The sequence below is a fragment of the Homo sapiens genome, chromosome 7 (assembly GCF_000001405.40).
Source record: "Homo sapiens chromosome 7, GRCh38.p14 Primary Assembly".
In the NCBI taxonomy this organism is placed as follows: Eukaryota; Metazoa; Chordata; class Mammalia; order Primates; family Hominidae; genus Homo; species Homo sapiens.
The window spans coordinates 67161398-67185676 of record NC_000007.14 but is presented as its reverse complement, the minus strand read 5'-3'; the positions used below and the strand labels follow the sequence as shown (position 1 = coordinate 67185676).

At 38.3% G+C, this 24279-nt stretch overlaps 1 protein-coding gene across 5 annotated transcripts in view, besides 2 other annotated features; it reads right to left on the bottom strand.

The window, feature by feature from the left end:
- The window catches only part of TYW1 (tRNA-yW synthesizing protein 1 homolog), a 242682-nt gene that overhangs the window by 53838 nt on the left and 164565 nt on the right, over positions 1-24279 (bottom strand). For all 5 annotated transcript variants that reach the window (NR_134540.2, NM_018264.4, XM_017012392.3 and 2 more), the window contains one exon: positions 2441-2551. Coding sequence is in view for 4 of the 5 variants with exons in the window: in NM_018264.4 (NP_060734.2) it covers positions 2441-2551 (111 nt within the window). In the remaining variant the exon portion in view is untranslated. The remainder of the gene's footprint in view (positions 1-2440; positions 2552-24279) is intronic.
- Positions 6301-6595: an enhancer, noted in NCBI's record as "tiled region #9636; K562 Activating DNase unmatched - State 5:Enh". NCBI's record gives its function as "activates a minimal TATA promoter and a strong SV40 promoter by Sharpr-MPRA in K562 cells {active_cell/tissue: K562}" and the evidence as "EXISTENCE:reporter gene assay evidence [ECO:0000049][PMID:27701403]".
- Positions 6301-6595: a silencer, noted in NCBI's record as "tiled region #9636; HepG2 Repressive non-DNase unmatched - State 13:Ctcf". NCBI's record gives its function as "represses a minimal TATA promoter and a strong SV40 promoter by Sharpr-MPRA in HepG2 cells {active_cell/tissue: HepG2}" and the evidence as "EXISTENCE:reporter gene assay evidence [ECO:0000049][PMID:27701403]".

Below are 24279 nucleotides of genomic sequence, written 5' to 3'. Positions count from 1 at the left end.
ATATTTAAAAGATATCTCAAATTTAATGTTGCCAACAGGGAGCTCAACATTTCTCCCCAAATATGTCCCCTTTTCCCTCCTGGTTTCCTGTATCTCAGCAAACAGTTTCACCATCCACGCAATGGCTTAAGCCAAAAACCCAGGTGCTATTCTTGATTCTTTTTTCTTTCAGCCCGTACCTATAATCTAGCAAAATGTTTTATTGGTTCTACTTCCAAAAGGAATCCTAAATGTACCCACGGCTCTCCGGCCCTAGTCCCACTGACCTTCCCCAAACCATCTCTTGCTTGGACTAACCACTCACTTTGTGACTGTTGTGCCTACTCTACTGCCCTCTATAACCAAGCCATGCTGCAGCAGTGGGGTGATCTTTTAAAATCACAAATCAGACTGCATCTCTCCCCAGCTTCACGCCCTTTCCTAGTGCACCTATATTTACAAAGCTTACCATCAAACTTAGTTTAAAATCCAATCCCCTTATCTTTGCTTGAAAGGCCTCATAAAAGCTGCCCCAGCCCACTGCTCTGATTTATCCTGTGCCGCTGCCAACCTCAGCCACTCCACTAGGATAGCACAGGACCTCCATGCACTAGCACCACCTGCCTGGAACGCCCTTACCCCAGGTTTCTGCTTACCATTTAGGTATCAGTTTTTAAAATGTCATCTCAGGCCTGGCGCGGTAGTTCTAACCCTGTAATCTCAGCACTTTGGGAGGCTGAGGTGGGTGGATCACTCAAGGTCAGGAGTTCGAGACCAGCCTGGTCAACATGGTGAAACCCCGTCTCTACTAAAAACAGAAAAATTAGCCAGGTGCGGTAGTGGGCAGCTGTAGCACCAGCTACTTGGGAGGCTGAGGGAGGAGAATCGCTTGAACCCGGGAGGCGGAGGTTTCAGTGAGCCAAGATCACGCCACTGTACTCCAGCCTGGGTGACAGAGCGAGACTTCATCTCAAAAAACCATAACATAACATAACATAACATAACATAACATAACATAACATAACATAACATAACATAACATAACATAAATAAAATAAAATAAAATAAAATAAAATAAAATAAAATAAAATAAAATAAAATAAAATGTCATCTCAGAAAAGCTTCCCTAAAATAGTCAACCACCATATCTAGTAAAATAATATATGCATTTACCCTTTGACCCAGCAATACACTCATCGGAATCTATCCCAAAGAAACACTTGCAAAAATATGAGAGGCAAGCAGACATTATGTGACTCCTGATTGGAGTATACAAGACCACCAGTGAAATATTCCTGAAATACAAACAAACCCACACACACATGCACCCCTGAATTTAATCAATCTTCTCTTGATCTAACTGTAGGCACCAATCCACAGGATACACAGGAACATGCACTCAACAAAATCTAAAATATAAACACAGGGCATCAGCCAAGATGCATGATCCATTTTCTACAGCAAAGTGATTTCTAAGAGGAAAAACAAAACACATAGAAGAGGAAATTAAAATTTTTAGTTGAAAATTTTTAGGTATGAGCCCAGCACTCTGAATAACTGTTTCAAAAGAATACACATCAGCCGGGCACAGTGGCTCACACCTATAATCCCAGCACTTTGAGAGGCCGAGGTAGGAAGGTCGCTTGAGGCCAGGAGTTTGAGACCAGCCTGGGCAAAACAGTGAGACCTTCTCGCTACAAAAAATAGCCAGGCATAGTGGCGTGCACCTCTAGTCCCAGCTACTCAGGAGGCTGAGGCAGGAGGACTACTGGAACCCAAGAGTTGGAGGCTGCAGTAAGCTACGATCACAGCACTGCACTCCAACCTGGGTGACAGAGCAAGTCCTTGTCTCAAAATAAAATAAAATAAAATAAAATATGAAATAAAGTAAATAAAATAAGAGTAGAAATCTTTTAGGAATATATGCTGAAATAATTCTGGGTAAATGATATAATTTTGGTGGTTTGCTTTAAAATAATCTGGGCTAAGAGCAGAAAAAATGGGTAAAGGTATAATTGAAACAACTCTGGGTCATGAGTTGATCATTTTTGAAGGTGAGTGATGGTTGGATGGGAGTTCATTAGACCAATCTCTCTACTTCCGTATATGTCTGAAATAAAGGTTTATGTAAAAGCCAACCAATTACTCACCACCACACTATTTTATTTCTCAGCATATTCATGTCACTACATGGTTTTTAATGACTCACTTTGTGTGGACTGTCCATCCTCCCACTAAAATACTAGCTTTATAAGAGCAAGAGCTTGGTCTTCTTGACTGCTATTATCCCCAAGGCCTAGAACAATTCCAGGTTCTTGATGAATATCGATCACGAAATGAATACATCAATAAAATTCCTGGGACCTCTAGAGTTTTACAAGGTTTTAACTCCACGATGGCCAACGAAGCACCACGATTCTTTGTCACTCCACCACAGCCACCAGAGTCAGCAGGGGCTTACCTTCACTTCGATGAAGTCAGGATTCCCCAGGGACACGAGCTGCGCGTAGGCCTGGAGCTCGTCCACGTTCCATGCTTTCACGAGCGTCAGTCTGTAGACAGTTCGTTGTTGCTAAAACAAAGGAAAAGCCAAGTTCGTTGTTATCTTGGTGGACGTCACCTCTTAACCTAGAGGGTTTCTCAAGCTTTTTCAATCCAGAGAACCCAGGGCAGGCAAAACTCATCATGAACTTTTGTAAACTGAAGCTATATTTTGAGGAAAGATGAAACAAAAATAAACACTATGATTCTAACATGCCTTATGGAAGGCACATGAGATACTGACATATTTATTTTCTCTTCCCCACAACATTTAACACTATGCCAGGCACCCAGAGGTTTCTTGACACAGACACACTGAATTACATTTAGTAAGGAATGATAAACTGACCAAACAGTGTTAGGCTATAAAAAATTAATTGAAATACCCTCTAGGCTTTCAGGTAATAATCACCCAAGTTGTTAGTGACAAGAATTGTTAGTAAGTCCTGTCTTCTTTCCTACTCCCTCATTATTTAATGATCTCTTGGCATTTCTTGCTGGCAGAAAAGGCACATGGATGGATTATCAATGTTGCCATTTGTGTGCCATATAACCACAAGAGGGACTGGCTTGCTTTCTTTTCTTCTTTATTTTTTTAGAGACAGGGTCTCGCCCTCCAGGCTGGAGTGCAGTGGTGCAATCCTAACTCACCACAGCCTCAATCTCCTGGACTCAAGTGATCCTCCTGCCTCAGCTTCCCAAGTAGCTGGGACTATAGGCACACGTCATCACGCCTGGCTAAGTTTAAAAATTTTTTTAGAGATGGGGTCCTTGCTATGTTATTCAGGCTGGTCTCGAACTCTCGGCCTTAAGTGACCCTCATGCCTGAGGCTTCCGAAGGGCTGGGATTATAGGCACACACCACTGAGCCAAGCTAGATTTCTGAAAATGTAATTAGACACTAGGCATTAAAGCCTTTAAAAAGCTTACACTCTGACTTTGTAGCTCCCTTTTAGAACCCAAAACAAATGATTAAAAATTCAAAAACACTAAAAAATCTCAGGACAACATTATTAATAATGGCTTAAGGCCGGGTGTGGTGGCTCATGCCTGTAATCCCAGCACTTTGGGAGGCCGAGGTGCGGGGATCACCTGAGGTAAGGAGTTTGAGACCAGCCTGGCCAACATGGTGAAACCCCGTCTCTACTAAAAATACAAAAATGAGCCAGGCGTGGCGGCATGCACCTGTAATCCCAGCTACTTGGGAGGCTGAGGCAGGAGAATCATTTGAACCTGGGAGGTGAAGGTTGCAGTGAGCTGAGATCACGCCACTGCACTGAGACAGAGCAAGACTGTCTCAAAATAAATAAATAAATAAAAATAAGAAGAAGAATGGCTTAAAATCTAAAGTGAGACCCACCCCTTGAGTAGGTGCAGGACCTGTGACTTGCCTATAACCAACAGACTATGGCAAAGGTGATGGGATGCATGTGGTTCTATGTACATGATTACATGCATCTGTAGCAAATGCCCAGGTAACACTCAGGCTGCCAACCCTCAAACCACACCTGAAGTAGCAATGCTCAAAATACTCAAGAAAAAAAAACAGTAAAGTGAAAGGGATGCACAAAATGATACCAATCTTATTAGTCTATGTTTGAAAACTTCCAACATTAATAAAAAAGAAGAAACACTTGAGACCTTCATTGAAGAAAACTAAGAGATCGTTAATAAGGAATATTAGGCAGCCACACCAGAAATTAATGTTTTCCAAGCATATTTACTCATGTGTACTCAAAAGTTCCTTCCAAAATGCAGTATATCATGCAAGGAAAGACAGAAATCTTCCAGATTCCCTTTACATATAATTCTTCCAATGCCAAAAGCTAACAAAAATAGTAGAAAACTGCAGACCTATCTCACTCATACTTATATATGTAAAAATCTTATAGAAATTTTAGCAAGTAAAATTCAGCATTTTGTTAAAAATTCCGGGAATGCAAAAACAATTCAATATTAGGCTATACAGTAATACAATTCATTATACTAGTAGTTCAACACAGAAAAACCACATGATCATCTTCATAGATACCCAAAGGTATCTGATATAGTTTAAAAGCCATCCCTGCTTTTAAAACAAAACAGAATGAGCAAATCAAACACCATTTGGTAAATTCAGTTAATTAAACACATCCTTAACATTAAAAAAAAAAAATCCACAACATTCTCCAGTCAATAGTCAACACTACTCTTACTGGCTAAAAAAATGGAGGGGCCGGACGCAGTGGCTCACGCCTGTAATCCCAGCACTTTGGGAGGCCGAGGTGGGTGGCTCACTTGAGGTCAGGAGTTCGAGGCCAGCCTGGTCAACGTGGTGAAACCCCATCTCCACTAAAAAATACAAAAATTAGCCAGGCATGATGGCAGGCGCCTGTAATCCCAGCTACTTGGGAGGCTGAGGCAAGAGAATTGCTTCAACCCGGGAGGCAGAGGTTGCAATGGGCCAAGACTGCACCACTGCACTCCAGCCTGGGCAACAGAGTGAGACTCTGTCTCAAATAAATAAATAAATAAATAAATAAATGCATTTCTATTTAGTTGGACTAACAGAAGAATTTCTGCTCTTTCTTAAAAAACACTTTTCTACAAGTTATAATCAAAGCAACAAGGCCAGGATAAGAATTACTGGAGAATATACGAAAAATAATTAATTGTAAATAATATGACTGGCTTCTTGGAAACCTGAAAGAATCAACTAAAAATGAGATTAGGCCAGTTACCAAAAAAAAAATTATATATATATATATATAAATATATATATATATATATAAACCAACAGCTTTCCAAGGATACGGTAGTGAGTTAAATGTGGACACGGGGGCCAGAATGAATCCCAACCCATGTACTAGGTATCATTACCTCTCTGTTCTTAGTTTCTACCTGAATGTAGCATTTAGCATGTGGAATCTGGAACCAAGCTTGGCAGCAGCGTATCATACCAAATATTAGCTATTATATGCCAGCAATCAGCAATTTCAAAATTCAAGAGAAAGCATATTCTACTTATAATTATGAAATGCCTAGTGTTTCAGCTGGGTGCACTGGCTCACGCCTGTAATCTCAGCACATTGGAAGACCAAGATGGGAGGATTACTTGAGGCCAGGAATTCGAGACCAGCCTGGGCAACATAAAGAGACCCCATCACTACAAAAAATACAACAGCTGGGCATGGCTGAAGCAGGAGGATTGCTTGAGCTTGGGAGGTGGAGGCTGCCGTGAGCCATGATCACACCAACGCACTCCAGCCTGGGTGACACAGCAAGACCCTGTCCCCCGCCAAAAAAAAAAAATATATATATATATATATATTCCTAATGATTAAATTATGAAATAGCATGCAGGACAGTGAGTAAAATAAACTTTTCTAAGAGACCTAAACAAAAACCCATCTACATGGAGAGCCATGATGGATTTATAAATATAATGTAATTCCAATGAGAGTTTACAATTCATCTGAACAAATAAACTGGCAACAGTAACCATAAAAATAATAGCAGGAGTTTGCAATTACTCAGCCCTTACTATGTGCCAGCTGTTGTTATAAAGTGCTTTGTAGCTTGGCAAAGATTCCAATATCTGTCTAATCTTTACAACAAATCTCACAAAATAGATTGGATTATTATCTTCACTTTACAGATACGAAGGTGAGGCTGACAGCTGTTAAGTAAATTGCCTGAAGTTACACAGCTGGAGAGCAGCAAAGCTGGGGTGTGAACCCAAGCAGTAGTGAGGTGGGAGACTGGCAGGACTTGTTTTCTGGTCACAACCCTGCTGACCAAAACAGGTCCAGACAGGATGAAGTGAAGAAACCAGCAGGAACCAGCAGATGGCCACTAAGGTGATCCCAAGATAGCCTTCTTATTCATTAGCATAAGACACTCCCACCAGGGCCATGACAGTTTACAAATGCCATGCAACAACCCAGAAGTTACTGCCCCTTTCCTAGAAAGTTCTAAATAACACATCCCTTTATTTGCATTGGCCTGCCCCTTAATTTGCATGTAAATATGTGCATAAATACAGTTGCCAGGAGCCCATACAATGCCCATTCTGGGTGCGCTGCCTATGAGTTAGCCCTGCTCTGCAAGGAGCTGTACCCTTCAATAAAAGATTCCCGTCTAACACCACCGGCTTGCCCTTGAATTCTTTACTGGACAAAGCCAAAAATCCTCCCAAGCTAAGCCCCGGTTTTGGGGCTCACCTGTCATGCAACAGTAGGAACCAGAATAGGCTCTCTCTCACTTTGCTAAATCTTCTAAAACTGTGAAATGAAACACAAAGAGAAATGTACACAAAACATGAATGTATAACTCCAGGGATTATCACAAAATGCCCATCACCCAGACACCCTTCTGCTCCTCCCAGTGAATATCCACTCCCTTCACCTGACTAATATCTAATATCCTGACTTTAACATAATAGTCTAGTTTTTGCCTGTGTTTGGAATTTATGTCAGTGGAATCATACATTATTTTGTGTTTGGTGTCTATCACTCAACACTGTGTTTATAAAATTCACCTATGTTGCTCCATGTTTAGGTTTGTTCATTTTCATTATCCAGTATTGGGTTGCATGAATATACAACAAGTTATTCAACCATTCCCTAAACATTTGGATTATGTCCAGGTTTTAGCTATTATAAAACAATGTGGTTATCTCTTTGAACACCAGAGTTTAGTTTTGCCTGTTTAAGGAAATTTTATAAAATGCTACTGTGACATACATTCTTTTGTGTCTGGCTTCTTTCACTGAATTCGATGTTTGCAAGATTCATTCATGCTGTTGATGTAACTGGAGCTCCAGTGGCCCAGTAGAGTGCATGGTACTTATGTGTCACCATAAATACATCTTTATGGCCACATTGTATGAACACACTACTAGTGAACGATTTTAACCCTCTACTTTGGGTTTCTTAGAAAATACTGCTGCCATGAGTGCTACTGTACTCATCTCTCTCTCCCTCTCCCCACCTCCTGTTTTTTTTTCTGGCTTGAGATAGGGTCTGGCTCCACCACTCAGGCTGGAGTGCAGTGGCATAAGCATGGCCCACTCCAGCCTCAACCTCCCAGTCTCAAGGGATCCTCCTGTCTCAGCCTCCTGAGTAGCTGGGACTACAGGCACATGCTGCCACTCCTAGCTTTTTTTTTTTTTCTTTTTTTTTTTCTGTAGAGACAGGCTCTCACTTTGTTGCCCAGGCTGGTCTCGAACTCTTGGGCTCAAGCAATCCTCTTGCCTTGGCCTCCCAAAGTGCTAGGATTACAGGCATGAGCCAACGTGCCCAGCTGTACTTGTCTCTTGATGCACAAGAACACACATTTTCTAGGATCTACCTAAATATGGACATGCTGGGTCATGGGGGATATGTATACATTCGACCTTAGCAGATATTGGCAATCTGATTGCCAAAGTCATTTTGCCACACTTTCACCCGCGTTGTATCAGAGTTTTGGTTGGTTGTTATCTTCAACAACACTTAGTGTTGCTAGTTTTCACCACTTTTGCATTGTTTTGGCTTTGCATCTGCCTGTGGATGTAAGCAAGCTGAGTTCATATGTTTTCTGGCTATCTGTATCTCTGTTTTTGTGAAGTACTGGTTCAAATGTCTTGAATATTTCTCTGTTGGAATATTTGTCTTTTTTCCAACTGATTTTCAATAAATTATTTGCATTTGCTGGAAAGAAAAGCTCTGTTATAAACGTATTAGAAATAATTTCATCCACTTTATGGCTTCCTTTTTTTCACAATGTCTTCTGATCAATAAGAACTCCTAACTTTCACACATTTCCACTTTCTTTCCTTATTAGCGTTTCTTTCATATTAGTGTTTCTTGTGTCTCTTTAACGGATCATTCCATGCTATCAAGAGCATGAAGATAAGCTCTTACATTTTTTTCTAAAGTTTTATCATATTGCCACTCACATTTGTGTCAAAAATCCACCAAAACTGACTTTTGCGTGTGGTGTTGAGAAGTTAAACTTATTTAACATATGGATAGTCCACTGTAATAAATATGATAGAATCATTGTCTATGCATGTGAGGATCTGCTTCTGGTTTTTTCTATTCTGTTCCACTGATCTAATTGTTTCTCATTGTCTCAATATCACACTTTTAATTACTGTTGCTCTACACTAAGACTTGATATCCAATAGAGACGGTTCTCAACCAGGAGCGATTCTGCACCGCAGGGGACAATTAGCAACATCTTGAGAAAATTTTTTGGTTTTCACAAATGGGGGCTGCTACTGACATCTAGTGGGTAAAGGCCAGGGCTGCTGCTGAATATCCTACAATGCACGGGACAGTCTCCCCAACCCTTTTCCTAAAAAGAACTATCCAGTCTAAAATGTCGATGGTGCCAATGTTGAAAAATCCTACAGTGGAGCAAGTTCTCTTATGTCGTCCTTCTGAAAGAGTATGGTGGCCATTCTTGGCCCTTTGCATATCCATGTACATTTTAGAATCAGCTTATTAATTTCCACAAACATATACAACCCTTTATGATTCTGCCTGATATAGCATTGAATCTATAAGCCAGTGTTGCTCAACAGAAATATAAGTTCACAGGTGAAATTTTTTTTAATGTATTTTAACTTAACATATCCTCAAAATTATCAACTCAAGAAGAAATCAATATTTAAATATTGGGATACCTGACATTCTTTTTACCAGACTAAGTCTTTGAATTCCATCGCTTCTTGGCCTTTTGGCTAAGATCAAGTGTAGTCTTTAAATTCCAATGCACAGCACGGCTCAATTCAGGGTAGCCACGTTTCAAGTACTCAATGGTCACATGTAGCTAGTGGCTACCATAAATAAATATAATCAGTGTATGGAGAAATGATACTTTTACAACCCTGAATCTGCCAAAATAATTACCTTTATTTAGATCCTTTAAAATTTCTCTCAATAATATTTTATAGTTTTCAATATAAAGGTCAAAAACATCTTTCCATAGATTTATTCCTAGGTAATATACTTTTGATGCTTTGTTATGGTAGTATCTTTTCTATTTTTCCTCTTTTAACTAATATTTAACTGATATTTTAATAGCTGGTATACAGAAATATAACTGATTTTTGTAAGCTGACTGTGTATCTATATAGCAGTCTTGTAAAATACATTTATTAAAGCGAATAATTACAAATTTTGGAAAGGATTGTTTATGTACACATTTATTTACTAAAAATGACATCTTCCTTTCCAATCATAACTTTTTCCCCTTTTTCTTGTCTTTTAGCACTAGCCAGAACTTTGATTCCATGTTAAATGGAAGTGGTGATAAATATAGTGGGTATGCTTGTCTTATTCTGCACAGTAAGATTTTAAACATTTACTCAAGAAGTATGACTTTTATGGGTAAATATATCAGATTAGGAAGTTTCCTTCTAATCCTAATTGGCTACAAGATTTTAATCATAAATAAATATTGATTTCTGTCAAATTCTTTTTATGCATCTATTAACCTTATCCTACCAGCTTTCTTTTTATTATGACATCATAAATAGGTTGATTTTTACACATTAAACAAAACTCGCATTCTTAGAATAAAGCCAATTTTTCATGGTTTTATAGACTGCTGTATTTAGTTTATTGATCTTTTCTTTAAAATATTTGCTTCTATGCTTATGAGTAAAAATCGCTTTTGTCTTATTCTTCTTAGAATTTGGTATAAATATTCTGAACTGGCTGGACGCAGTGGCTTATGCCTGTAATCCCAGCACTTTGGGAGGCTGAGGCAGGTGGATCACCTGAGGTTGGGAGTTCGAGACCAGCCTCACCAACATGGAGAAACCCCATCTCTACTAAAAATACAAAATTAGCTGGGCATGATGGCACATGCCTGTAGTCCCAGCTACTCGTGGGGCTGAGGCACGAGAATCACTTGAGCCCAGGAGGTGGAGGTTGCGGTGAGCTGAGATCACGCCATCGCACTCCAGCCTGGGCAATAAGAGCAAAACTCCATCTCAAAAAAAAAAAAAAAAAATTCTGAACTAATAAAATGAGATGGAAAGTGCTACTATTCCTCTCTGGAATAGTTGTGTAGGGTTGGTGTTAGTTCTCCTGATGACTGGTATCATCAAGAATTGGTATAATTCAACGATGAAATCATCTGGGCCTGGAGTTTCCTTTGGACGAGGTTTTAAATTTAAAAAAGCAATTTATTTAACAATTATAAGTCCATGTAGATCATTTCATCTAGTATTAATTTTCTTAAGCTTCATTTTCTAGGAATTTGTGTATTTCATCTAAATTCCCAAATTAATTGGCATAAAGTAATTCAAAATATCCTCCTATCTTTTTAATGTCTATAGGATCTATAGTGATGTTTCATTTTCATTTCTAACATTACTTATTTGTACCATCTCTCATTTTATTGATCAAACTTGCCAGGTAATCATCAGTTTTGTAAGATTTTTTGAATAACCAACTTCCGCTTTTTTATAATCCTATTTTATGGATGTTTTTTATTTCCTTAATTTCTGCTCTTTTTATTTCCTTCCAAGTACTTACTCTATGTTTAATTTACTGCTCTGTTCTTTTTTTTAAAAAAAAAAACATTGTGGGTACCAATTAACTTCTCAATATATGCATTTAGCTTATTGATTTTTAACCTATTTCCTTTACTAAGTAGGCATTTTGTCTTCTTCAAAACTTTTTTTTTCTCCTTCACTCTTGAAAAATATTTTCATTGGGAACAGACTTCTAGATTGGCAGCTCTTGGCAAATTTCAGCCCTTTGAGGCTCCATGGTTTGTGCTCTCATTTCTGTTGTGCAATCAAGTACTGGCCTATTGTTGCTCTTTTGAAAGTAATCTCTCTTTATCTCTGCCTGCTTTTAAAAATTTCATAAAATGTTTTTATTTATCCCGTTTGGGTTTATGTTTTCCTGTATTGCCCCAAATTTCTACAGTAAATGAGTAAAACTTTTGTAATGGGGGAAAAAAGCACATGCAGAAATGTTAATCTGATAAGCAGCATAATGGTAAATTCAGAATATCCCAAGAGCATAGGGGAAGGGGGTCCTAATGTGACAAATGTCCCAAACAGTCTAACTACAGACATCTTGGTTATCAAACAAAAGACCAGCACTGTGCAATAGAGCTTCTCACAGTTCTCCACTAAAATACTCCCAGGAAAACCATTTGCCACTTGTATGTAAGCAAACAAAATGGGTTGTTTGCCTGCAACCCATCTGTAGGTAAGGCTGATTCAACATTTGAAAATCAGTTAATGTAATCCATCACATCAACAAGATAAAGAAGGAAAATCACGTGATCATATCAATAGATGCCAAAAAGCATATGACACCATTCACCACCCATTCATAATAAAAACTCTCAGCAAACTAGGAAAATTTTCTCAACTTAATAAGGATATCTACAAAAAACCTACAGCTAACATCATACTTAATGGCAAGAACCTGGAAGCTTTCCCATTAATATCAGGAACAAAGCAAGGATGTCTTCTCTCACCACTGCTTTTCAACATGGTACTGGAAGTCCTAATCAATGTTGTTAAGACAAGACAGGGGAATACAAAGAAAACAGATTTGGAAGAAAGAAATAAAACGGTCTTTGTTTAGAGATAGCATGATTATCTATGTAGAAAATCTACTAATCAATCTTAACAACCAGATGTTGTGTGCCACTTGATTGATGCACTAGGAAACAGTACAGCAACAATTATTAAGTATTCTTGACAAAAACTGAATATATCGTCAATCGAGCCTTTAGTTGTAACTACCATTTTACAGGAATTACAAAGAAACACAGACTATATTAAAAGATACCAAAAGGATTCAATCAGCCAAATTCGGGATGTTGCAAATTCTAATGACAAATGACCCACCTTCTTCCACAAATAAGTAGCACACAAGAAAGGGAAACAGGATTGGAGCAATCACATTACAAGAAGTATAAACAAAGTACAATGTGAGAATCTTGTTTAGATATTACTCTGAGAAAAAAAGTTATAAAAACACATTCTTTTGGAAACTATCAGAGAAAATGAGATACATTTGAATTTTCAGGAAATGCATTAAAATGCATTGTTAATTGTATTAGGAGTGATAATGGTATTGTGTTTATATTTTGTTTTTAATTTTTTTGTTTTTGTTTTTTGAGACAGGGTTTCACTCTGTCACTCAGGCTGGAGTGCACTGGTGCATCACCATACCCAGTTAATTTTTTTTACTTTTTGTAGAGACAGGGTCTCATTATGTTGCCCAGGCTGGTCTTGAACCCCTGGACTCAAGTGATCCTCCTACCTTGAACTCCCAAAGTGCTGGGATTACAGGTGTTAGCCACCACATCCAGCTTGTTTGTTTTTTAAAAAGTCCTTCAGCTGGAAGAAGAGACATAGGAAAGACTGAAGAGAAAATCTGTGGTTAAATCATGAATACTGAATGTATGAAACAAGAATGGTAAGGTCTTAGCTGGGCACAGTGGCTCATGCCTATAACCCCAGCACTCTGGGAGGCCGAGGTGAGCAGATCCCCTGAGGTCAGGAGTCCAAGACAAGCCTGGCCAACATGGTGAAATGCAGTTTCTACTAAAAATACAAAAAAAATAGCCAGGCGTGGTGGCACACACCTGTAATCCCAGCTACTCGGGAGGCTCAGGCAGGAGAATCACTTGAACTCAGGAGGCAGAGGCTGCAGTGAGCTGAGACTGGGCTGCTGCACTCCAGCCTGGGCAACAGAGTGAGACTCCATCTCAAAAAAAAGAATGGTAAGGTCATGTGGGGTTCAAAAAATATGCAAAAGTAAAATGTACAACAAAAACAGCATAAAAGTTGGGATGGAGTTAATGGAGTTAAGTATTCTAAGTACTATTGCTTATAAAATGATATAAACGTTAATTTACATTGACTTTAATAAGTCAAGCATGCCTGCGTCAATCACTAGGGCAACAACTAAAAGAACAATAATAAAAAAATAAATACTAAAAAACCAACAGAATGGAAAACTTATAATAAAATTCCTTAGTTAAAAACAAAAGAAAGCAAAAAAATAGAGAAAAAGACAGCTGAAAAGGGGAGGAAAATAATGCAAATAATTAGATGCTACATTTAAATTCAAATATATCAATTATTGTATTTCATGCAAACTATAAACACTCAAAAAGATAAAGATTTTCCAACTGTTTAAGAAAACAAACCCAATTACATGTTATTAAAAAGTCCTTCAGATGGAAGCAGAGATGCACGATAGACTAGAGAGAAAATTTTTGGGTAAATCATGAATACTGACTGCATGACACAAAAATGGTAATGTCTTGTGGAGATATAACTTAAATATAAAGATACAAAAAAGGTTGAAAATAAAAACAAAAAGAAAAAAGTTGTACTATGCAAACACTGACCATAAAAAAAACTAGTGTTGCTTTACTAGTATTAGACAGACTTTAAGATGAGAAGGTGAGAAGGGCATTATAAAAAGGCCAATTCACCCAAAATATGTAACAATTCTTAACTAGTATAACAATATACTAGTACCTAACAATATAGCATCAATATGAAGTAACAATTGACATAACTAAAATGAGAAATGAACATACCCATAGTCACAATGGAACATTTGTACACATCTCTCTCAGTAACCAATAATATAAGACAAAAGAACTTTCTCAGTAACTAACAATTAAAGACAAAGGAGTAAAAGCACAGAACACATGAACGACATGATTAACTTAACTCTCCTCCAAGACCTAGCAAAAGAAGAGTAAATTAAATCAACAGGGTTAGGAAAGAGAAACAAAGACTAGAACAGAGGTAAAAGAAATAGAGAACAGAAAAACAACTCGGGAGACAAAGAAACCAAAAGTATGTTCTATGAAAAAATCAACTAAACGGACCTTTAGCTAGACTAAGAAAAAGAAGACACAGATAACTAAAATCAGAAATGAAAGTGGAGAAAATACTACTAACCTCACACAAATAAAAGGAATTATAAGAAAATACTATGAACAACTATATACCAAAAAAAGTGGATAACCTAAATTAAATGGACAAATTCTTAGAAATATGTAAATTACCAAAAATGACTCAAGGAGAAATGGACAATCGGAACAGACCTACAAGTCAAGAGATTGAACAATCAAAAAACTCCCAACAAATAAAAGCTTAAGAGCAGATGGCTTCATTGCCAAACATTTCAAGAAGAATATTCTCAAACTCTTCCAAAAAAAATAGCAGAGGAAACACTTCACACCTCCTTCTCCGAGGCCAGCATTATCTTCATAACAAACCAGAAAAAGACATCACCAGAAAACTATAATCCAATCCCTTATGATGTAGAAATTCTCAGCAGAATACTACCAAACCAAATACATCATATTAAAATATTTTACATTATTACCAAGTGGGATTTATTCCAGGAATGAAAGCAAGTCACGTAACACACAAATCCATTTATATGAAATTTCCAGAACAGCTATATCCATAGTAACAGAAAACAGATTGGTGGTTATAAGGGACTGGTTTACGAGGTATGGGGAGTAACTGCTTAATGGGTACAGGATTCTATGTTGGGGTAATAAAAATGTTTAGGAACTAGATAAAGGTGATAATTACACAAGACTGTAAATGTATGAAATGCCACTTCGTTGTTCATGTTAAAACAGTTCATTTTATGTTACGTGAATGCTACCTCAATACAAAATTTTAAATCCCTGTTAAAGTTCCAGCTGCCTGTTTTGCAGGCTTTAAAAGCTGATCCCAAAATGCATATGGAAATGCATAGGAACCCAAAGACCCAAAATAATTTGAAAAAGAAGAAAGTTAGAAGATTCAAACACTGTGATTTCAAAACATACTCAAAGCTATGTTAATCAAGATTATGTGGTACCACCATAAGGATAAAACTGAAGATCAATGGAACAGAACTGGACAGTCCACAAATAAAACCCATACACTTAACAGCCAATTGATTTTGACAAGGGTACAAAGACAATGCAATGGGGAAAAAATAGTCTTTTCAACACATGGTACTGAGACAACTAGTTATTCACAGGCAAATGAACCTCTCACATTGTCCACCAAAATTAACTCAAAACTGCTCAAAGAGCTAAAACAATAAAACTCTTGGAAGAAAACATAAGGTAAATCTCTGTCACCTTGCATTAGGAAATTAGATATGACACCAAAAACATAAGCAACAGAAGGAGGAAAAAAAGATACAATGGACTTTTCAAAGTTAAAACTTTCTGTGCTTCAAGTTGGCAGCTCCTGAAAAAGTTAAATATAGAATTACTATATGACCCAGCAATTTTACTCATAAGTGTGAACTGAAACATATATTCACACTAAAACCTGTGCATGAATATTCCCAGCAGTATTACTCATAACAGCCAAAAGCTGGAAACAATGCCAACGTCCATCAGCTGAAGAACGGACAAAGAAAATATAGTACATATCCATCCAAGAGAATAGTATTCAGCAAAAAAGATGAAGTTCTAGGCTGGGAGCAGTGGCTCACGCCTGTAATCCCAGCACTTTGGGAGGCCAAGGCAGGTGGATCACAAGGTCAGGAGTTCGAGACCAGCCTGGCCAATATGGTGAAACTCCATCTCTACTAAAAATACAAAAATTAGCTCGGTGTGGTGGAGGGTGCCTGTAGTCCCAGCTACTCAGGAGGTTGAGGCAGGAGAATCACTTGAACCCGGGAGACAGAAGTTGCAGTGAGCCAAGATCACGCCACTGCACTCCAGCCTGGGGAACAGAGCGAGACTCCATCTCAAAAAAAAAAGATGAAGTTCTGATTCATGCTATATAACATGCGCTAACTTGGAAAACATTATACTAACTGTAAGAAGACAGACACTATTGGAAGTTCTGAAATTAAATAATCCACATGGTCACACTGTTTTGTAAATAAACTAAAAGCCACTAAATTATATACTTTAAAAAGTCATTTTTATGCAAAGTAAATTATTTCTTAATTTTAAAATGGAAAGGATGAACATCTATAATTTACTATGTACAAGATGTTAAAAAGTAAACAATAATATAAATATAAGAAAAAAGGAAATAAAAGAACAGAAGTTAATAGAAGAAATGCCATAAAATAAGGATGGCAAGTATTCCAAAAATTACTTGTAAAAAAATTTAACAAGAGTTACAAATTAATGGAAAGAGTAAGAAACAGGCCGGCCACAGTGCTCACACCTATAATCCCAGCAGTTTGGGAGGCCGAGGTGGGCGGATCACCTAAGGTCAGGAGTTCGAGACCAGCCTGACCAACACTGTGAAACCTCGTCTTTACTAAAAATTCAAAAATTAGCCAGGCATGGTGTTGCATGCCTGTAGTCCCAGCTACTCGGGAGGCTGAGGCAGGAGAACCGCTTGAACCTGGGAGGCGGAGGTGGCAGTGAGCCAAGATCGCAACACTGCACTCCAGCCTGGGCAACAGAGCCAGACTCCATCTTAAAAGAAAAAAAGAAAAAAAAAGAATAAGAAATAAAAATATGCATACTATTACTAGGAATGAGGTACTATTTGGGCTTATCAAATTGGCATTTGATATTTGATATTTGGCATTTGAATATTACGGGCAGTTACACAAAGTCATTTTGAAAATTTAAATGAAATGTACAAAGTCCTAAAGAAAACACAACTTAATAAAATTGATAAACAGAAAACCTAAATGGTCCTATAATTATTTATGGTGTTTGATTTGAAATATTAAACTCTTCCAGAGAACAGAAAAAGAGGGCCTATTCTCCTTACTCATTTTATGAGGTCACCATAATACTGATATTAAAACTTAAAATCATTAAAAGAAAGAAAATGACAGTTCAGCATCTCTCATGAACAGAAATGGAAACATCTTTTAAATATTAGTATACAAAAGAATCCCAAGATACACAAAAAAGATAATACATAGTAACCAAGATGAGTTTATTGCATGAATAGAATTTGGTTTGTTATTTGAAAATCAATGCAATTCACCATATTAGCAGAATAAAGGAAATCATATAATCTCAATAGACGCAAAAAAAATGATATGATAAAAACCCAATAGCCATTGATAATAGTCACATAAAGCTAGGAATAAAAAGAAATTTCTTCAGTATGGTGGAGTATTTATAAAAAATCAACAGTAGGTAGGGGGCTGGGGCTCACACCTATAATCCCAACACTTTGGGAGGCCGAGGTGGGCGGATCATGAGGTCAGGAGTTCGAGACAAGCCTGGCCAAGATGGTGAAAGCCCGTCTCTACTAAAAATACAAAAATGATCTGGGCGTGGTGGTGGGTACCTATAATCCCAGCTACTTGGGAGGCTGAGGCAGGAGAATCGCTTGAACTCAGGAGGCAGAGGTTGCAGTGAACTGAGATCGCGCTACTGCACTCCAGCCTGGGCGACAGAGTGAGACTCTGTCTCAATCAATCAATAAATATAAATAAATAAAAACAAATAAAAACAGACCCAAACATGTAAGGATACTTAATTTATGACAAAACTGACACTGCAGAACAGGGCAGGAAAGGATTGTTTTTTAAAAAAATAAACAGCATTGAATCAAATGATACCCATTGCAGTGGGAAAAAAAATCCCCATTTTAATGACTTTAAAAAAATTATAGACTTTAAAATGCGAAAGGAAGGAAAAACAACACAATGTCTAGGAAATTACAGAAGAAACTCTCTTCATGACTTTCCTTTTTTTTTTTTTTTTTTTTTTTTTTGAGACAGAGTCTCTCTCTGTCGCCCAGGCTGGAGTGCAGTGCCGCAATCTCGGCTCACTGCAACCTCTGCCTCCCAAGTTCAAGCGATTCTCCTGCCTCAGCCTCCCAAGTAGCTGGGATTACAGGCGTGTGCCACCAGGCCCGGCTAATTTTTTGTATTTTTAGTAGAGACGCGGTTTCACCGTGTTAGCCAGGATGGTCTTGATCTCCTGACCTCATGATCCAACCGCCTCGGCCTCCCAAAGAGCTGGGATTATAGGCGTGAGCCGCCGCGCCCGGCCATGACTTTCTTAAACAGGATAAAATGCACTCACCAGATAAAGACACCTGATAAACTGACTACATTGAAGTTGGCTACTTCTTATCAAAAGTCATGAGGCAATGGAGAGAGAAGACATAGAGCAGAAAGGGACATTTACTCCTGTCTAGAATACATTTAAAAATCCTATAAACCAATAAGAAAAAGACAATGCAAAAGAAACATTGACCAAAGCCTTGAATGTTCTTATATGGCCGTGCGATTGTCTGGCACTATCTACTAATGATGACTGAATGCAGAACACCCAATCAGGTGGCAATTCCACTCCCAAATACACAGTGAACATCAGTTAGCCCACATGTATATCAAAAAACATGTACAGAAAAGTTATTAGTGCAATTATTCATCATAGCCCCAACCAGGATGCAATGTGAATATCCCTCAATAGTGGAAGGAATAAATCGTGGCATACTCATATATTGACATATAGCAATGAAAATGGATGAATTACAGCTGCACACATCATGGATGAATCTAACAAACATACATAAAGAAAAAATACATATATTCACAAAAGAATTTAAATTGTTAGGATTCCACAACATTCAAAACCAGGCAAATCTACCTTACGGTGTTAGCAATCAAAATAGCAATTATTTTTAGAGAGGGGAGGGGCTGATGACCAGGAGAGAACTCTGAAGGTGCTATTAACGTTCTATTTCTTGAGCTATTTGCTGGCTGTGTTCATTTTGTAATAATTCATCCAGCAGTTCATGTAAGATCTGTGCCCTTTTCTGTGTGTATGGTATACTCCAATTTAAAAACTTATTAAAAATCATGTATATATGTATTATATATAATTATATATTATATATATTATATATGTTATATATTATATATAAAAAGTACTGGGAGGAGGCATTCAAATTTTAAAAGTCTTTTCGTTTGTTTTTTGTTGAGAGGTTCACGCTCTGTCACACAGGCTGGAGAGCAGTGGCACAATCATAGCTCACTGTACCTGGAATTCAAACTCCTGGGCTCCTCAAAAGATTATCCTACCTCAGCCTCCTGAGTAGCTGGGACTACAGGTGCACACAACCATGTCCAGCTTATTTTTTTATTTTTAATTTTTTTGTAGAGATGGAGTGTCGCTATATTGTCAGGCTGGTCTCAAACTCCTGGCCTCAAGTGATCCACCCACCTTGGCCTCCCAAAGTGTTGGGATTACAGGCATAAGCCACTGTGCCTGGCCTAAAAAGTCTTTATTTTATTTTATTTTTGAGACAGGGTCTCATTCTGTTGCCCAGGCTGGAGTGCAGTGGCACGATCTTGGCTCACTGCAGCCTTCACCTCCCTGGCTCAAGTGATCCTCCTGCCTCAGCCCCCCAAACAGCTGGGACTAGAGGTGTGTGCCACCGCACCTGGCTAATTTTTGTAATTTTTTTGTAGAGACGAGGTTTTGCTATGTTGCCCAGGCTGGTCTCAAATACCTGAGCTCAAGCGATCTGCCTGCCTCGGCCTCCCAGAGTGCTGGGATTACAGGTGTGAGCCACCACGCCTGGCCCTAAAAATTCTTTATATGTTGTATACAGAAGTATTCACGGATAAAATGATATTATGTCTGTTATTAGATTTTAAATATTCCAATGCCTTCCCTACTGCCAAAACTGGGAAGATAGAGAAAATCAGAACTGTAGAATGCTGATGGTTGTCAAAGCTAAGATGATGGTTACACGGAATTGGTTATATTATTCTCTCCCCTCTTGAGTATTACAAAAATCCACAATTAAAAGTTTAAAAATATATAGTCATGAGTTAGAGTTCTGTTGCTTCTAATTAGGCAGCTTTCAGTGCTACATAGACTGGATGAGGTTATTATAACCCAGGATTACAGCTTTTAATTTCAATGATTTATCTTGACAGTTGCAATTCAACACATACTCTAGTTGAGGCTGTGTCAAAACAAGATAAAATGGTCTCCTAAAATATGGTACTGACTTACTAGTAATCAAAGATATGCAAATTGAAGCAGTAATGAGGTACTATTTGGGCTTATCAAATTGGCAAAGATTTTTTTTTAAACAGCAATATTCAGTGCTGCCTAGAGTTTAGCACGACAGGCATATTTGTTCATTGACGGTGGGAGTGTAATTCAGTACCAACGTTTAGAAAAGTAACATGGCAAGATGATTAAAGAATCTGAAAAATATTCAAATCTGTTGACCTAGTAATTGCATTTCTAAAAATGTAGCCTATGGACATGATGAAAATTATGAACAAAGACTGATGAATAAGCATGTTTATTCTAGCTTTATAATAACGAGACACTACAAACTCAAGATGATGACAAGATGTTCAATCCCAAGGAATGGCTAGATGATTTATGATATCACCCTTTAGCTAACACTAAAGATGTTATTTCAGAACAATGGTCACGAACCCCAACATATCTGAGGAACATCCTCCTAACAATAGCAGGGTCAATCTAGATGTGACTCTCAGAAAGAGAGGGAGACTTATTTTTTGTACCTCGTTCCCATTGAGAATAACTGTTTTAGAGGAGTATTTGTTGACAAGGGGTAACTTTTTTTTTTTTTTTTTGAGACAGTTTTGCTCTGTTGCCCAGGCTGGAATGCAATAGTGCCATCATAGCTCACTGCAGCCTTGACTTCCCAAGCTCAAACCATCCTCCCACCTCAGCCTCCTGAGTAGCTGGAACTACAGGCACATGCCATCACATCCAGCCAATTTTTTTTGTATTTTTTAGTAGAGATGTTTCGCTATGTTGCCCAGGCTTGTCTCGAACTCCTGACCTCAAGTGATCCACCCACCTCGGCCTCCCAAAATGCTGGGATTACAGGCATTAGCTATAACACCTGGCTGCAAGGGGTAATTTTTATGTTACAATGATGAATTTTTTAAAAGCTGAAAACAAACTTATACATGCAGCATGGCATTAACAATATAAATATATCTACACCAAAAAAATTTAAATGAATTTTTTAAAAGCTGAAAACAAACTTATAAACGCAGCATGGCATTAATAATATAAATCTATCTACACCAAAAAAATTAAGGTTTAGAAGGAAATACAACAAAAGTTTTGGGATCAGAAAACACGTATACATACACACTTTTTAATAGTATTGATACTTAAGATGAGATTGGTTGGGTTTAACAGTCTCTTGATATGCCTGATCTCCGCTATCCATTACAGTAGATACTTAAAACTCTCCTGCTCTGCCAGGCGTGGTGGTTTACGCTTGTAATCCCAGCACTTTGGGGGACCAAGGTGGGCGGATCATCTGAGGTCAGGAGTTCGAGACCAGCCTGGCCAACATGGTGAAACCCCATCTCTACTAAAAATACAAAAATTAGCTGGACGTGGTAGCGCATGCCTGTAAACTCAGCTACTCAGAAGGCTGAGGCATGAGAATCACTTGAACCCAGGAGGCGGAGGTTGCAGAGAGCTGAGATCACACCACTGCACTCCAGCCTGAGCGACAGAGCAAGACTCTGTCTCAGAAAAAAAAAAAAAAAATTCTCCTGCTTAAAGATCAGAAATTTGGCAGAGAGTAGAAAAGACATGCCTTGAGTTCAGTAGAACCTAAGAAGATCATGCACATCAACTGAATCGTAGGACAGTGTGGCCAGAGCCTGAAGAGTCATGTACTCTACAGGTTACTTACAACAGGAAACAGAAAAACAGAGCTTGACATCCACCCGGCAACTTGGTTAGTGTGCAGGAAGATATCATCTGTGTGAAGGAGTAAGCGGAGGGTGAAACCACAAGAAGAGATGAGCGCAAGAAAGCTGAGAGGTGCAAGATGCACACAGAAGAGGCTCGGAGCACTGGCAGCAGAATGTGAAAAAGAGGGACTGTAAGCAAAGTAACCATGTAATGGCAGAAATAAAATTCCCACTGGAATTTTAGTGTAAATACTACTGTGGTATTTACACTTTGGGAAAATCAAATGAGTAGTATGGAGCAATGTTTCCTCATCCTTTGGAGGTTGGGAGAAATTAGATGAGGGTGCTTACTGACATTTTGAACAAGACAGTCCATAGTATGAAAATGATATGTGCCCTGAGAAGCAGAATGCGGAAATTTACAACATGGGAATTGTATGGAAAAGGACAAAGAAATGAGAATATTCAAAGAACGAATGACTAGTAAGGAATACAAAATGTAAACAGCTGAAGACAAAATAGCTGAAAGAGAATAAATAAGTGGTAAGGTTTCTAGAGAAAGAAAGATGCAACTATAAAATCCTAAGGGCTACTCTATATACTTTCCATCTGGGAGAAGAGCTTTCTAAAAAATCTAAAACCACCACCACAAGATGAACAAGAGAGGTGCCCTATCTACAGAATAGTAAACAGAAATAAGAGAAACAATGTCATAAAAATCAATCAGCAGAAGATCATGTTATTGCCTAAACCAGGATGTCATCTCAGACTCCCATGACTTCAAGCAACGTACTGACTTGGATGTCCGAGGATATTGACAAAAGTAAAATCTCTGGCAATGTTCCTGCACACAAAATCTATCCATCACTCCTGCATCAAATACAAATGAATAGAAATAACTGGACTCCATGTGTGCAGAAGACAGGGTATGAGAAGGATATTTAAGACAGCCAAATTATGCTTCACAAAACGACTGAGACAAAGTAAATTTTAAAGGAATATAGGGCAGCCCCAAACTATACATCTCTAAAATCAATATGCCTTAGAGCAGGTCTATTTCTCCAGAAATATTACTTGTACCAATCTACAAGTTCCCAAAGTCCCAAATATTATAGCAAATACTCCCTCCCTGGAAAATTAATCATTCAAATGCAAAAACTCTATAGTCCAGGGATGTTCAGAATTTTTTTTTTTTTTTTTTTTTTTGAGACAGAGTCTTGCTCTGTCACCCAGGCTGGAGTGCAGTGGTGCAATCTTGGCTCAGTGCAAGCTCTGCCTCCCGGGTTCACGCCATTCTCCTGCCTCAGCCTCCTGAGTAGCTGGGACTACAGGCACCCGCCACCACGCCCGGCCAATTTTTTTGTTTTTTTGTTTTTTTTGTATTTTTAATAGAGACAGGGTTTCACCGTGTTAGCCAGAATGGTCTCGATCTCCTGAACTTGTGATCCGCCCAACTTGGCCTCCCAAAGTGCTGGGATTACAGGCGTGAGCCACTGCGCCCGGTCCAGAATGTTTTTAACCCATCAATTAACCTCCCTGTGCCGAAGCTTGGTCTTGCAAAACAACAAAAACAAAAACCAGACTCTTTAGAAGGTGACTCAGTCCGTGAAGTAAGCCTATAAAGTTTCCTCCCTGGAAAGCTTATTAGTGACAAGATATGCCTGGGGGTACAGCAGTCTACTTTATGTCTGACACATAAGAACGTGAATCTGGAATGATAGGAAGATGAGCCCAGAAAGAAGAGTAGACCACACTTATTATACTAACATTAGGATGCCAAAAATTAAGCCTTCCATGCAAAATCCTTCTTTATCTAATGTGCATTATTTACTAAATAATATATATATAATGGACACATGGTCAAATAAGTGCTATAAATTCATCTCCTGAGACATCCACACTGCAACACAGATAAAATGAAAATCAAATAAAGCTGGTTAAAACATACAATGAAACAATCTCCTGGCCAGGAATTGGACCTAGCTGCCCGTTAGAGCACACAGGCATGCAAAAATAACACCTACTCAAGATGAGCCTGCAAACCAAAATTCCAAAAGATACGTGGTAATCTAACATTTCAGAAAGAGAGCCAACCTAATCTACAATTAGAACATAAGCTTTA